This window comes from Homo sapiens, chromosome 7 (assembly GCF_000001405.40).
Source record: "Homo sapiens chromosome 7, GRCh38.p14 Primary Assembly".
In the NCBI taxonomy this organism is placed as follows: Eukaryota; Metazoa; Chordata; class Mammalia; order Primates; family Hominidae; genus Homo; species Homo sapiens.
In genome coordinates this window covers 12,342,988-12,357,966 of record NC_000007.14, presented here as the reverse complement: position 1 = coordinate 12,357,966, position 14,979 = coordinate 12,342,988, and the positions used below count along the sequence as shown (strand labels likewise).

Here is a 14,979-nt window from a genome sequence, read left to right as displayed (position 1 = left end):
GGAGCCAAAGAAACGGAGCAGTCATGGGCAGTGAGGGAGGAATAGAGAAAGGGAGTAGAGGGAGAAAGTGAGGCTTAAAGAAACAGAGTGCAAAGGATCCACAGCCAGAGAGAGAGAGAGTAGTGAGGCAGTCAACACCAAGAAGTAAGACAGAAGAGGTGCAGCATCCAGTGTGGCCAGTGCATGGGTATTTATATATTCTGTGCTGTATCCAAAGTGATTTCATACTTTCATAATAATGCCTGAGGTCTTGCACCTGTCAGTTACTTTCATGTGTCTAAGAATGGAATTGAACTTACTCAGAATGTTAAAAAAAAAAATGAAAGCAGCTAATAGACCTTTTAGCAGAGTTCAGTCTTTATCAAAATGCATATCTCTGTGGGAGCTCTCAGAAGTACACTTCATTCCTTTTTCTACACGGGTATAAAGTTAAGTGTTTTCTCTATTACAGACAACCAGCCCCCAGTGATTCAAGCATTGCAAGACAAATTACAGACATTTTATGGTGAAAACTTTGAGTATCAGTTCGTGGCCTTCGATCCAGAAGGTTCTGACATCCATTTTACGTTGGACTCTGGTCCTGAAGGGGCAAGTGTTTCCTCTGCAGGGCTTTTTATGTGGAAAACAGATTTACTAACTACCCAACAAATTACTGTACGCCTTAATGATGACTGCGATGCTGAAACTAGAGTCACGATTGAGGTAATCTTTATAATTACATAAGTGCCACTGGATTCTTTTGCAATTTTAACAACTTTATTTGAATTTAAAATACAAGCCATATTGCTAGTTGTAAAGAGCAACAAAGTTATTAAACATTGTATGGAAAATTAAACTGCCGAAACTTTGACTATTCTTTGTAAGAATTTAAAACCTTAGAGAGAGTCTCAAGCCTAGAAGCACAGATCTAAATTAATAATTTCTATACTGTTTTATTTGGCACTTCACTATGACAAGAATAAAGAACTCCTTCAGCTCCACCTTCATGAAAGATGTGTGATTAATCTAAGATTGATAATTATACCCTCTTCCATCAAGTGAAAGGACCTGAGATGTTGAATTAGAAATCAAGATTATAAATACAACTTGAGATAAATAATTGGCAACTATAATTCCTTTCTTTATTGACTTTTCTTTTGATTATGTCAGTCATGAGCACTTAATACTTAGAAACCCTTTATATGTCCTTTGCTCATTTGAAACTTGGAACACGCTTTTACACTGAAGTAATATTGTAAGAGCAGCTGCGTTCTATGCCATATTAACCCAGTAATTCGGGAGATCATTTGCTCTCTAGATTTGTGAATAACCCAGGTGATTAACTGCTTTCCACTTTAATGATTTTTTAAGTTGTTCTACTTGCATGACAGAAATTGATCATCTTGTAACTTTTTTTTTAGAAAAGTTATCCTTAGTATTATATTGTGGTTATGCACCTGGGAGTGGGCGTAATTGCCTTATTAAACTATTTTTAATACAATTTTATATTACATTTGTGTGTGTGTGTATATATATCAAATATAAGTGATTTGGTCATACTTGTACATAAACATACATGACTGTCATGATTTCTGGGGCATAAACTGAAGATAATTTTATTGAAAAATAAGACATTTCCTTTTTTTTTGTTTTGTAGGTGACTGTGAAGTCTTGTGATTGCTTGAATGGTGGATCATGTGTATCTGATAGGAACTTTTCTCCAGGGAGTGGAGTGTACCTGTGTGTCTGCTTGCCTGGCTTCCATGGCAGCCTTTGTGAAGTGGACATTAGTGGGTGCCAATCCAACCCTTGTGGTCTTGGCAGCTATATTAGTGGTTTTCACAGTTATTCCTGTGATTGTCCACCTGAGCTCAAAGGTAAGATTTTGCTCCTCATAACAAATTAGAAAGAAAAGCTCCTTGAAACACATATCTACAGATTACTTAAGCAAATGTGTGGTCCTAAAGATTTTAGTACACATCTTTACAATTTTAATAAAAGTTATTACAAATATAATTACTATCCATATCCCTTGTTTTTGTAAATTGCAAGTTCCATGCACTATTACATTTTTGCCAATTTTTATAACTGTTATAGCAATGTAGGAACCTGTTTTGCAGGTTCCTAAACATTCCTACCTGTATTTGGTAGGGAGAAGTGTATTAAAATGTATTACTATTAAGATATAATATGGAAAAATAAAGGAATTATGCCAGAGAAAATACAAAAGTTATCACTTAAGAGAGGTTTTACTGATAATTCGTTGACTTAGAAATATCATGGTAAGAAGTTGAAATCAAATGAAATGTTAGCATATTTACTAACTCATTAATTGCCCTAAAATGTGTGATTACGGAAATAAATATATGACTGCCAACCTTTAATTTCCCGCAGCTTTTTAAAAACTCATATGAATATTTTCTGTACATTTAATAGATGTAAATATTAAATAAGTAAATATATAGTTAATGAGCTGATATTTTTCTTGAAGATACCCATTTTAACAATACAGTAGAACTGAGCAGAATATTTATGTGTCTTCTAATTTTCTTCAGCACTTTTTTTTTTTTTTGAGACGGAGTTTCACTCTGTCGCCCAGGCTGGAGTGCAGTGGCGCCGTCTCAGCTCACTGCAAGCTCCGCCTCCTGGGTTCACGCCATTCTCTTGCCTCAGCCTCCCGAGTGGCTGGGACTACAGGCGCCCGCCACCAGCCCGGCTAATTTTTTTGTATTTTTAGTAGAGATGGGGTTTCACCATGTTGGCCAGCATGGTCTCAATCTCCTGACCTCGTGATCCGCCCATCTCAGCCTCCCGAAGTACTGGGATTACAGGTCTGACCTCTTCAGCATTTTAAAACAAAAATTTTATCATTGGGAACTATGAATGTAGATCTCTTTTCTACTTCACTGTAGACTCTATTTGAAAGAATTCAAATGTTGATTGCCTCATAAATTTTAGTATAATAAAGGCTACCATCCACGTATGACTGAATTTACTCGTTCAGATGAGTTGTTAAGCATTTCAAAGAGCACCACATCAACTCAAAAACTTTGATTAAGGACGGACTGACTTTCCTAACACAAACAACTTTCATGAATTTTTATAACTAGACTAAACAATTTGTCCTTAAGCTAAACAGACAACCATCCTAAATAACTTTTAAAAATTACTGACTTTTTAAACAAAGTTCAAATTACTGCTGTAATATGAAGCTTTTTGCCTTAACTATTAATGGAGTTCTTAACTCATCTTATTTACAAAAACAAAATCGTATGTACTTGAAAGGTCTGGTTTAATATTAAATTGAATGTAATTAGTGACTTTATATTTGATTATACAGTAAGTTTTAAAAACAGCATACTTCTGTCCTCATAATGCATAGCAGCTCTTTTGGGGTTAGAAGGACAGACATAAAAAGTAGAAGTTATATAATAAGACAATTGGACATACGATGTTTTTCAAATTAAATAATCTGAGCTCTTGATCTATATTTTATACAGGCAAAAATTGCCAGGAAGATGTTGATGAGTGTGACTCCAAGCCTTGCTTTGAGGGAGTAGCATGCCTGAATACCTTTGGTTCCTATCATTGTGGTTCATGTCCAGAAGGATTTTATGGGGATGGAAAAATATGCCATGGTAAAAGTTTCTATTTTCTGCTATGAGATTTTTTTTGCTGCAGTTAATTATTTTTTAATAGCATAGTTTCTGTTTTTGACTCATGTATTTATTTAGTGTAAATGCATTAAGTGTCATGCATTGAACTAGATACAAAGGATGCAAAAATATATAAGACATGTTTTCTGACTTAATAGGTAGAGTGTAACAGCAGGGAATATGACTAGTAATTACAGAGTATAATAAAGTGTTCTGTGTCTTTTGATAGAAATCACAAAAGGGCTAGTAGGAATACTACACAGGGAATCTTATCTACCTGGAGAAATAATGAAAAAGTTTTAAAAAAGGAAGCGACTAGACTATACTAGACACATGAGAACTGAATCTGATAGATCAAGAGAGAGAAAGGCATTCCAGGCAAAACCAACAGCAGGAGCAAAGGGACAGAAGCAGGCAACATCACAGCACTCCTTGGGCAGCCAGCCACTGTGAATAGTTCAGTGTGCCTGGAATATAGGAAGAAAGGGGAGCTGCTACAAGAGTTGGAGCTAGAGAGGTAAGCAGTAGCAAGACCACATAAAAACCATGGAGACTCTCTTAAAATTTTGAAGTGGGAGAGAAAGACAATACAGTTTACATGTGAGATAGTTTAAGGAGCAGTGTGTAGGATGGACCACTTGTGGGTAGGGAACTGTGTAAATCTGAAGGTGGGAAGAAGAGTTAAGAAAATACTTCAAATATATAGGAAAAAAGATGAAGATATATTAACCTAAGATGAAGATGAGGTAATGATGAAAGGGATAATAAAGAAGCAAGTTGATTGTACTTGGCCAGTGATTGGTTTTAGCATGATGAGAGAAAGAGATTCATTAAGTTTTAAGTGTTTGATTTTAGTGAATGGGTGTGTAGAATTTGCATTTGCATTGCTGTGGATAGAACTGCGTCCCCCCAAAATTTATATGTTGAAGCCCTAACTCCCAGTGTGGCTATATTTGGAGAAAGGAAGTAATTAAGGTTAAATGAGGTTATAAGGGTGGAGCCCTGATCCCACAGAATTAGTATCCTTATATGAAGAGACACCAGAGAGCTTGTGATGTATAGACAGAGCAAGAAAGTGGCCGTCTTCAAGCCAGGAAGAGAGCCCTCACCAAAAACTCAGTCAGCTAGTTTGATCACTTTGGTCTTGGATCATTGAGCCTCCAGAATGGCAAGATAATTTCTGTTGTTTAAGCCCCGCAGTCTGTGGTATTCTGTTATGGCAGCTCAAGCTGACTAAGACACACAAGCAACGTAATGGAAGAACAAGTTTTTTTGGAGGGGAATTATAATGAATTCAGTTTGGATGCACAGAAACTAGGGTTACTATGGAATATCCATGTAAGCTCAGAAAGGAGGATTAAGTTGAAAATATAAATCTTAGAATAATCAGCTATGTCATAGAATTGTCCAGGAAAACCCTTAGATTTAGAGGAAAATGGACAAAAAAAATTGGTGGGCATCAACATTTTAAAAGATTAAAAGAGAAAAAACTAAGTTATAGAAGACAGTGTTGAAGATCCATACCTTTGGTTTAATTAAGTGAATGGGACCCTTTTTGATGACAATTATGTACTAAGGAAGCAGCAGCATCTTGTGCTTCAAATTGGGCTGAGCCTGCCCAGCCCCACAGATATGAGCAACACAGTATAGGATGGTAAGGGGAATTCTCTACTTCTGCTTCTCACATTTACTCCTGAATATCCCATCCCTAATATTCACACCTTCCATTGTAATAAGTGATCTAGCCGTTTTCTTTCCCAAACAGACCCATTTCTTCAATAAAAACTTCATTCAGTGGCATTTAAGAGAAAAACAAGTTGAACCAAATCCCCTTACACATGAGTGACTAAATATGTTTCTTAACATTGTCAGAGTCATTTGTGTATTGTAGGAAGGGGCTTATTAATACAAAAGGACTTTTGGTTGTTGGTGGTGTTTTCTTAGTTTTATGATAGGTACCAGAGTCAATGGATAGCAACATGAATAAAGCACAGTTATTCTTGAGGTTATTGCTAACTAGTGGGGCACATAAGAATCAATAGCATGAAGGGCAAAGTTCTGTGGGAGAACCCAAATGGGCAAAATTGATCGGGTGGGTGAATTCAACTGAAGGAAGGTACGTTAGCTTGGGCTGCTATAACAGATTGAGGGGCATAAACAACAGAAATTTATTTTCTCACAGTTCTGAATGCTGAAAGTTCAAGATTAAGGTGCGAGTAGGGTTGGTTTGTGGTGAGATATCTCTGGTTTGCAGACTGGCTATGTTCTCACCAGGTCTTCCCTGCATGTGTGGTATCTCTTCCTGTTTTCGTGAGCACACCAGTCCTATTGGATTAGGGTGCCACTCTTATGATCTCATTTTATCTTATTTACCCCCTTAAAGACCCTGTCTCCAAACATGTTCACATGTAGGAGTAGGGATTTAACATATGAATTTTAGGGGAACACAATTCAGTCCATACCAGAAAAGTGTGCAGAAGAGATGACATTTAAGTGAGTTATTCAGTCTAATTTGCAGAGTTTAATCCAAGTGGCGTTTGTATTGTATATTCTTATTTGTGGTGCTTTGGTTGTCTAATAGTTTAAGTCTAATCTGTTTTCCTTGTTCTCATTTACAGTTGAAACACAGTTTGTAAATCAATTTACTACACAAACTGTGGTTCTCACAAGATCTGATAAAAGTGTAAATAAAGAAGAGGATGATAAAAATGCCCAAGGGAGAAAGAGGCATGTTAAGCCAACAAGTGGAAATGCCTTCAGTAAGTAATGGTCATAGTTAAAATCTAATGACAAGTAATTCCTCTTACTTGTTTTCTAGAAGACCAACATATTTATTCCTCAGGTATTTTTATTTTTAGAAAGATCACCTAAAGGTTATATGATGCGGTTTAAAATTTATCCTTTCTCTTGCTAATCTATTCAATCATCTGGCTTATATTTTAGAAAAAATGCGTTTATGTCCTCTAATGAACAAAGCATCATTTAAAGTGATTTCGGAGAAGCTTATGGTTGGAAGGGACTATTTCAAACTTATATTTTATAAATCCCTGGAAACTGGTCATCCAGTATCTGCTCAAACCCTAAATGTGATAAGAAGTTCACTATTTCACAAGGCCTTTCCTGTGTCATAGTGCTTTCTTAATAGCCCTCATTTGGTTTAATCATTCTGTGATTGTCTTCATAAAGTTCTTGTACATTTCACATTGGCTTTCTTTATGCCTCTGCATTCTGTAACATCAACTGTTATTGTGAATGGGATATCTCTCAAGACATTTTTGATTCCTGGAACATAGGAAATGTGTCTTGACTTTCTTATTGTTCCGGTGTTGTCACCTTACTGAATACTCTGATGTACACTACGGTTTATAGTGGATTCTCTTTCTTGATTTTACAGGCAGACAATAATTGTTTTTTGCAAATAGGGGGTTTTGTCTGCTATTCTTATTTACTTTCTTGTCTTAATAGTGAGATTTAATTTATACTTATAATGTGCCGGCACTAGGCAGACATTTTTTGTATCTTACCTCATTCAATCCTCATAATAGCTATTTACAGTAACTGTTATTACTTCTATTTTACAGATCATTAAACAGAAACATAGAAGGCTTAAGTAATGTGTTCAGATTATGGAGTTTTAAATTACAGGAGAGAGAGTTGAGCCTGAGCAATCTAACTGAAGAGACCAGGGTCTCAAACTTACGCTCTCATTGTAGTGTAGTGTACCTCTAGTACAAAGCCTGTAGTGAAGGGAGAGCTTTGTTAATGGTATGGGAATTCTTCTCATGTTTCACTATGATATCACTGCAGTTTCTGCTAGATACCATTTATCCAATTGATGAATTTTCCTTTTATTAGTTGCTTTTTCAGAATTCCTAGTTTTAAATTGGGAGTGGGTTTTAAATGTTATTTATCAAACGCTTTTTCAGCATCATTTATTACTTGCTATAATTGTAGTTAACAAAGTTTCCTTAGACTAATTTTCTCACAATATTTAAAATCAGTAATTAATGCATATTATATTTCAACATTATTTTATATTTTCCATATTATGTGTTTATGCAATTATATAATTATATTAATAGGTACAAGTCTAATCCTGATATATTTTTCCATAAATGCACTGCTACCTTTGATTTGCTAGTATTTCATTTAAATTTTTATATGTCACAAATATATTGACTATATGATTATGCCACTTTAATAAAACATTTATAATACTTTTCATCTCTTTTTGTGCATTGCAGCAGTTTTGAAAATACCCTTTCCTTAATTATTTGGTAAAATTTTTCATTAGATTGTCTGTCCTAGCATTATTTTGGGGAGTAATTTTAGATTGTTTTTCTATTTCCATCAATGTTTGTGCCTCCTCTTGAGTCAATTTCATCATTTTTATTTTGCCAGAAAATCATTTGTCACATTTAGATTTCAAATTCTTGTATACAATTACATGTAGTATTCTTGTATAATTTAAAATTGTCTTCTTATGTATAGCTATTTTACTTTTCTCATCTCCAAAGTTGTTTAGTTGTATCTTTCCACTGTTATGGTTTTTGATTTTTCCTAGATAGAAGTTGCCAAAGGTTATCTATTTATTTGGGTTTCTTTTTTCAAATAATCATTTAGATTTGTTTTTGTGCTAATTGATATCCTTTTGCTTGCCTTTTTTATTGATTTGTAGGAGTACTTTATATATTCTGGCCACTTCATATATTCTGATCCTATACATAATAGGTACTTAAATTATTGTGTTTATCTCTGTGGTTTGCCTTTATCTGTGTTGTCTTTTTATATGAAAGCATTAAGATTTTATGTAATCAAATAAATATATTTTTAAATCTTTTATTTATAGCTTCTCTTTAAGGATCTCTCAAAGTTTAAATTATAAATATGAACTCATAGTCTCTTTTAGAACATTTATTATTTTATATTTTACATTTAGTTTTTAATTCATTTGAAATTTGTTATTTTATTATATGAAGAAGAGGTCCAATACTTTTTTTCTTCCAGATGAATGGCAATTATGTAGTATCATTTATAAGATAAGTCACATTGAATTTAAATATCATATATTTTATTTATTTATTTATTTATTTATTATTATGATTATTATACTTTAAGTTTTAGGGTACATGTGCACAATGTGTAGGTTAGTTACATATGTATACATGTGCCATGCTGGTGCGCTGCACCCACTAACTCGTCATCTAGCATTAAGTATATCTCCCAATGCTATCCCTCCCCTCTCCCCGCACCGCACAACAGGCCCCAGAGTGTAATGTTCCCCTTCTTGTGTCCATGTGTTCTCATTGTTCAGTTCCCACCTATGAGTGAGAATATGTGGTGTTTGGTTTTTTGTTCTTGCGATAGTTTACTGAGAATGATGATTTCCAGTTTCATCCATGTCCCTACAAAGGACATGAACTCATCATTTTTTATGGCTGCATAGTATTCCATGGTGTATATGTGCCACATTTTCTTAATCCAGTCTATCGTTGTTGGACATTTGGGTTGGTTCCAAGTCTTTGCTATTGTGAATAATGCCACAATAAACATACATGTGCATGTGTCTTTATAGCAGCCTGATTTATAGTCCTTTGGGTATATACCCAGTAATGGGATGGCTGGGTCAAATGGTATTTCTAGTTCTAGATCCCTGAGGAATCGCCACACTGACTTCCACAATGGTTGAACTAGTTTACAGTCCCACCAACAATATAAAAGTGTTCCTATTTCTCCACATCCTCTCCAGTACCTGTTGTTTCCTGACTTTTTAATGATTGCCATTCTAACTGGTGTGAGATGGTATCTCACTGTGGTTTTGATTTGCATTTCTCTGATGGCCAGTGATGATGAGCATTTTTTCATGTATTTTTTGGCTGCATAAATGTCTTCTTTTGAGAAGTGTCTGTTCATGTCCTTCAACCACTTTTTGATGGGGTTGTTTGTTTTTTTCTTGTAAATTTGTTTGAGTTCATTGTAGATTCTGGATATTAGCCCTTTGTCAGATGAATAGGTTGCAAAAATTTTCTCCCATTTTGTAGGTTGCCTGTTCACTCTGATGGTAGTTTCTTTTGCTGTGCAGAAGCTCTTTAGTTTAATTAGATCCCATTTGTCAATTTTGGCTTTGTGTTGCCATTGCTTTTGGTGTTTTAGACATGAAGTCCTTGCCCATGCCTGTGTCCTGAATGGTATTGCCTAGGTTTTCTTCTAGGGTTTTTATGGTTTTAGGTCTAACGTTTAAGTCTTCAATCCATCTTGAATTGATTTTTGTATAAGGTGTAAGGAAGGGATCCAGTTTCAGCTTTCCACATATGGCTAGCCAGTTTTCCCAGCACCATTTATTAAGTAGGGAATCCTTTCCCCATTGCTTGTTTTTGTCAGGTTTGTCAAAGATCAGATAGTTGTAGATACGCGGCGTTATTTCTGAGGGTTCTGTTCTGTTCTATTGATCTATATCTCTGTTTTGGTACCAGTGCCATGCTGTTTTGGTTACTGTAGCCTTGTAGTATAGTTTGAAGTCAGGTAGTGTGATGCCTCCAGCTTTGTTCTTTTGGCTTAGGATTGACTTGGCGATGTGGGCTCTTTTTTGGTTCCATATGAACTTTAAAGTAGTTTTTTCCAATTCTGTGAAGAAAGTCGTTGGTAGCTTGATGGGGATGGCATTGAATCTATAAATTACCTTGGGCAGTATGGCCATTTTCACGATTAAATATCATATATTTTATTTAAAGTCCCTTATATGTTGAGATATATTTCTGAGCTTTCTGTTATGTTATTATTTTCTAATAGTCTTTTTTATGCCAATAATACATTGTTTTTGATTAGTGTGGCTTTATACTACATTTTAGTATCTGTAAGGCCAATATCTTCTCATGATTCTTGTATTTTGTAATTTTTATGATATCTCTGATATATACCTTCATAGGAACATTGAATCATTACATTTCAAAAGAAAAAATGTGCTTTACTAACATACATTTGCTAACATATGCTCTTTTCTTACTTTCTTTAATGGTAATTTTTGTAATCTGGAGTTTCAGTTCTTCTCTGCTTCTTTCTCCAATTCTGACAATAAAAACTCTCCTAAGGAGAAGGTTCACTTAAAACAATTTGGTTCTGGAAGGAGTCCCTTCTGTGTACAGAGGCTGAGGGAATGGGACACTGACTTGGCCCAGATCATCTAAAGCAGTTCTTCTGGGGACTGCTAGTCCAGGGCACTTTTGCTGTATTTTTTGACACAACTGTGCTTACCTCACTGCCCTTATTTATGTTTGGGGCTATATTTGGTGCACTCTTGTTTCTATTAGTCTGAACCCATATGCTTTTTATGTTTCACGAAGTCCTCACATTTTTCAAAAATCTTTCATTGCACTTGTTGCCAACTATGTTAAGGATTATTTTTGTTGTTTTTGGTTCATTTTCTTCTGTCTTTTTCTGGTTTTGGTTTGATTTACATAAAATCTTAATGCTTTGAGAAGCATTAAGTGTTTTTTATATTTTAAGACCTTTGAGAAGAGCTTTGCATGAAGACAGTGCAAAATCAAATCCTAAATTTGCAATAGAAAGCATAACAAGAAAAACGTATCTAATCACTGCTTAAAATGTGTTCATACTCTAAAACCCGTTAGATTTTTCCATACCAAAGAAGTAAAAAAGTGCAATAAGGAAATGAAGTATTTTGGCAGGTGAAATAAATAATGATCCCCCCCGCCCCCGCCAAAAAGATGTGTAAAAATGTTTTAATTTCTAGCTGAGCAGTCAAGAAAGATGGGGACATAAAATCTGATTTTATCACATTTGTAAAATTATTAGACCTGTGGTTCTTTGCCTCTCATATAAAATAGCATTTATATAATTTCCCAATTTTTGCTTATACATTTAGTTCCTGTCTTCTTTATAGGGAAAATTACTTACTCTTCTGTGTTTCTGTAGGTTTCATTTTATATTTATCACTCTTGTAGTAGTTCTCAATGATTGTTTCATAGTGAATGGCTCACATGTCTCTATCCTTGACAATATTCTAAATTGCTCAGGCATAGGGGCTGTGCTTTCCTTTGTTTTGAGGCTCATGTGTATGAGGTGATCAACAGGTGTTTGTTAGCCATTTCAAAATCTTAATGAAATAAATTATTGTACTTTGACTTTTATACTATTTAACATTCTGGGTTATCTTGTGTACCCCAAAAGATTATAAGCTCCTTGAAGGCAGAAACAGTGTCATGATTTCTTGTTAGTACACAGCTCCTACTACAATGTTAGACATGTGTAGATACTAAATGAAGGAATGAATTACTTAATGTAAAATATTTCAGGTAGAGAAGACTATTTATAAATGCTATTGACTAACGTTTTTTATTTTTTGGTTGTGTAGCTATAAATTTTCAGCCACCATCAACAGAATATTCACTAATTAGTACAAGATTTACTCCTACTCCCGCTACTATCAAAAAGTTACTGAGCACAACTAACAACATCTCCCGCTCATCACTGAAATTAATTACAGCCCAAATGGATAATTCAGTAAAGCCTATTTCCCATCAGATATCAGATATTGAACATGTGGATCGTAGTCTCAGTACAAATCTCAGTCTGGGTGAGTTGGAAGTTTCTGTGAAGAACAGTAGCTCTTTAAGCAGGAACCCAAACAACACCCATGGCAAAGCAAATGATGATATCCAGAACACCATCCAAACAGAGACAGGAGGGTATATTCTCAAATTAGCAGGTCTTCCCAAGGTTACACACAGTATGAAGATGAGTTTGTGTCATCTATTACAAAAGCAATTGCTATTTTGCCAGAAAAGTTTGGATCAACCAAAATATCACCTTGTGCTGGCTAGCCTTGTTTTCTTGGTGTTTCCTGTGTGCCAAGCTCAGATGGTCACTTCCAATGTGGACGCTGCCCCTTTGGGTATTATGGAGATGGTATCAATTGCAGAGGTAGTATGAAACTCTTCAGAAGATACAAAGAAAATTATCTAATTCAAGTTTAAGTTATTAAAAAGATATGCTTTTCCATATACTAATTTCTATTTATTCTGCTTAGTTCACTTATTTCCGTTTATTTTATTTATTGATCATTTATACTGTATTCTCATCACATTTTGAAAGAACAAAAGTGGGTCTGCTGAGTTATTTATTAAAATCATGTTAATATTATAGAGTATTACAACTATATAATATATATTACAAATATATTTGAGTACTTTCTGTGTTCCAGGGTCTGTGGAAACATTTTGTATCAACTGTGTCATATTATCCACATGAACCCCACAAATTGGGTATTATTTTTCCCATTATACAGATGAGAAAACAGAGTTTTGGAGTGCCCACTGAATTTCCCAGCATTAATCAGCTAAACAGATAAAAGATGTCAATATAGATCTGATTAACATTGTGGTCTGTATTCTTTTCAGCTCACGGTGGGCATTTGGCACTTCAAATACTAATTCTGGCATATTTGCTTATTTGCATGAACTAGGTTTCTCTGTAATCTTTCCAACTCTTTCGAGATTACAGCAAGTTATATATCACTTTAATTTTAAAGGCATTGTTTCTATCTTCTCACAATTATTAACATTGTTTTCTCTGATGAAAATCAACTTTTTGGCTTTGGCAACATAGAAGCTGTCTTGTGTTACTGTTGTGTTACTGTTTTGCTTTGTTTGTGTTTTGGCTTGTTTGAGACTAAACTTAAGCAAGAGAGTTGTTGGAGTATTCTTACGTTCTCAGTATTATCTAGAGGGACTATTAGTTAACTATTCAAACTTCAGAGACTTTTGCTTCTATCATAACTAAGTCTCTGAGCAATATGTATGTTCTGTTTTAGCAATCAACCTTTTTTTCTTTGATTTTTTTTTAGCCATTTGTAAATATCCATGTGGAAAAAGTAGGGAGTGTGTTGCCCCAAACATCTGCAAATGTAAACCTGGTTACATTGGTTCTAACTGCCAAACTGGTAGGTAACATCATTCATTAGTTTGCATGATAAATTGTATTTGGTAATTGATATGTCTAAAACTTGGGCTTTATTTTATACAGCTCTTTGTGACCCTGATTGCAAAAACCATGGAAAATGTATTAAGCCTAACATTTGTCAGTGTCTTCCAGGACATGGTGGAGCAACCTGTGATGAAGGTGATAATTCAAATTAAAAATCAAATATAAGGCCTAAAATATAGCATAATTTTCTTTAAAAACCATTTTACAAGACAATTCAGTTTTACTGTGTATATATTAAAATATTCTTATCAAAGCTGGTATAGGACTCTACATTTTAAAATACTTATTAAATATAATTTATTCAAAGATTCTAAAGAATTAAATTTCTGAAATCAGAGATTCAAGGGGCAATAGCTTATTTGTTATTGGTAAAATTACCCTCTGAAATGATTTGAGGTTTAGTTATAAGGTACTATATATCTACAAATGTTTTAGCTTCAAGCAAAGACAGCTATTGAATGATCTACCAAATATGGTTCAAATAAAGTGTTAAATGCCAAATAACTAGAAAATGTAAAGTAGTAAGAAGAAACCTAAAAAGTGAATTTGTAAAAATACATCTGTAGCCATATAATTGCATTGCTTTGGTTTAAATCTTAAGCGGAAAATTTATGAAATAGCATTCCTAAAGTGGATGATACTTTAAAGAAATAAGTTGTTTATTTTAAAATAATATGTGAAAAGGTAGTTTGGTAGATGGTGCATATAATTATGGATAAGCTGAGAGCCATGTTAAATGTTTTTATGGCAAAGCAAGCTACAAATTAACAAATTAAAGTAAATTTAGGGTGAACTAATAGAAACATTCAATAAAAATAGCATATGAAAATAACTATGGAACTATAGAAAAGCTCTATTTGTAAGGCAGGAATAAGTAAGTTCAAATCTCACTTTTCAGAAGAAGGCCAAGGTCCTATATTTTCTTCCAGTTAACAAAACGTTTTATTAATCAAAGCATGCTGTTGATTTGTAAGTGTTTCCAGTGTGAATTAATATAGTCAGTCCCACAGAACTAAGTTTTGTAGTAAAAGAGAGCTTAATGTATTATAAATTACTCTTACAACAAGATTTTATTGTGACAGTGCTTTATAAATATAAACTGACTTTTTAAAAATTAAGAACTGACATAATAACATAATCTGTTTCTGCAGAACATTGTAACCCACCTTGTCAACATGGTGGCACATGCTTGGCTGGGAATCTCTGCACTTGTCCTTATGGTTTTGTAGGACCAAGGTGTGAAACAAGTAAGCAAAGCTCTCCTGATGTCTGATATAATGAAACTGCTTCTTTGAATAGTTGATGGCCTTAATGCTACGTGAAATGAACCCAAACTCTACGT

The 14,979-nt window shown here is 34.3% G+C and overlaps 1 protein-coding gene across 4 annotated transcripts in view; it reads left to right on the top strand.

Annotated features, from left to right (window-relative positions):
• The window catches only part of VWDE (von Willebrand factor D and EGF domains), a 72,981-nt gene that overhangs the window by 45,899 nt on the left and 12,103 nt on the right, over window positions 1-14,979 (top strand). For 3 of the 4 annotated variants that reach the window (NM_001346973.2, NM_001346972.2, NM_001135924.3), the window contains 6 exons: window positions 452-702; window positions 1,637-1,856; window positions 6,254-6,394; window positions 13,498-13,593; window positions 13,677-13,772; window positions 14,789-14,884. In NM_001346973.2, coding sequence (NP_001333902.1) covers window positions 452-702; window positions 1,637-1,856; window positions 6,254-6,394; window positions 13,498-13,593; window positions 13,677-13,772; window positions 14,789-14,884 — 900 coding nt within the window. Of the gene's footprint in view, window positions 1-451; window positions 703-1,636; window positions 1,857-3,479; window positions 4,153-6,253; window positions 6,395-13,497; window positions 13,594-13,676; window positions 13,773-14,788; window positions 14,885-14,979 lie in introns of all 4 variants that reach the window. The other variant, NR_144534.2, reaches the window with a different exon arrangement.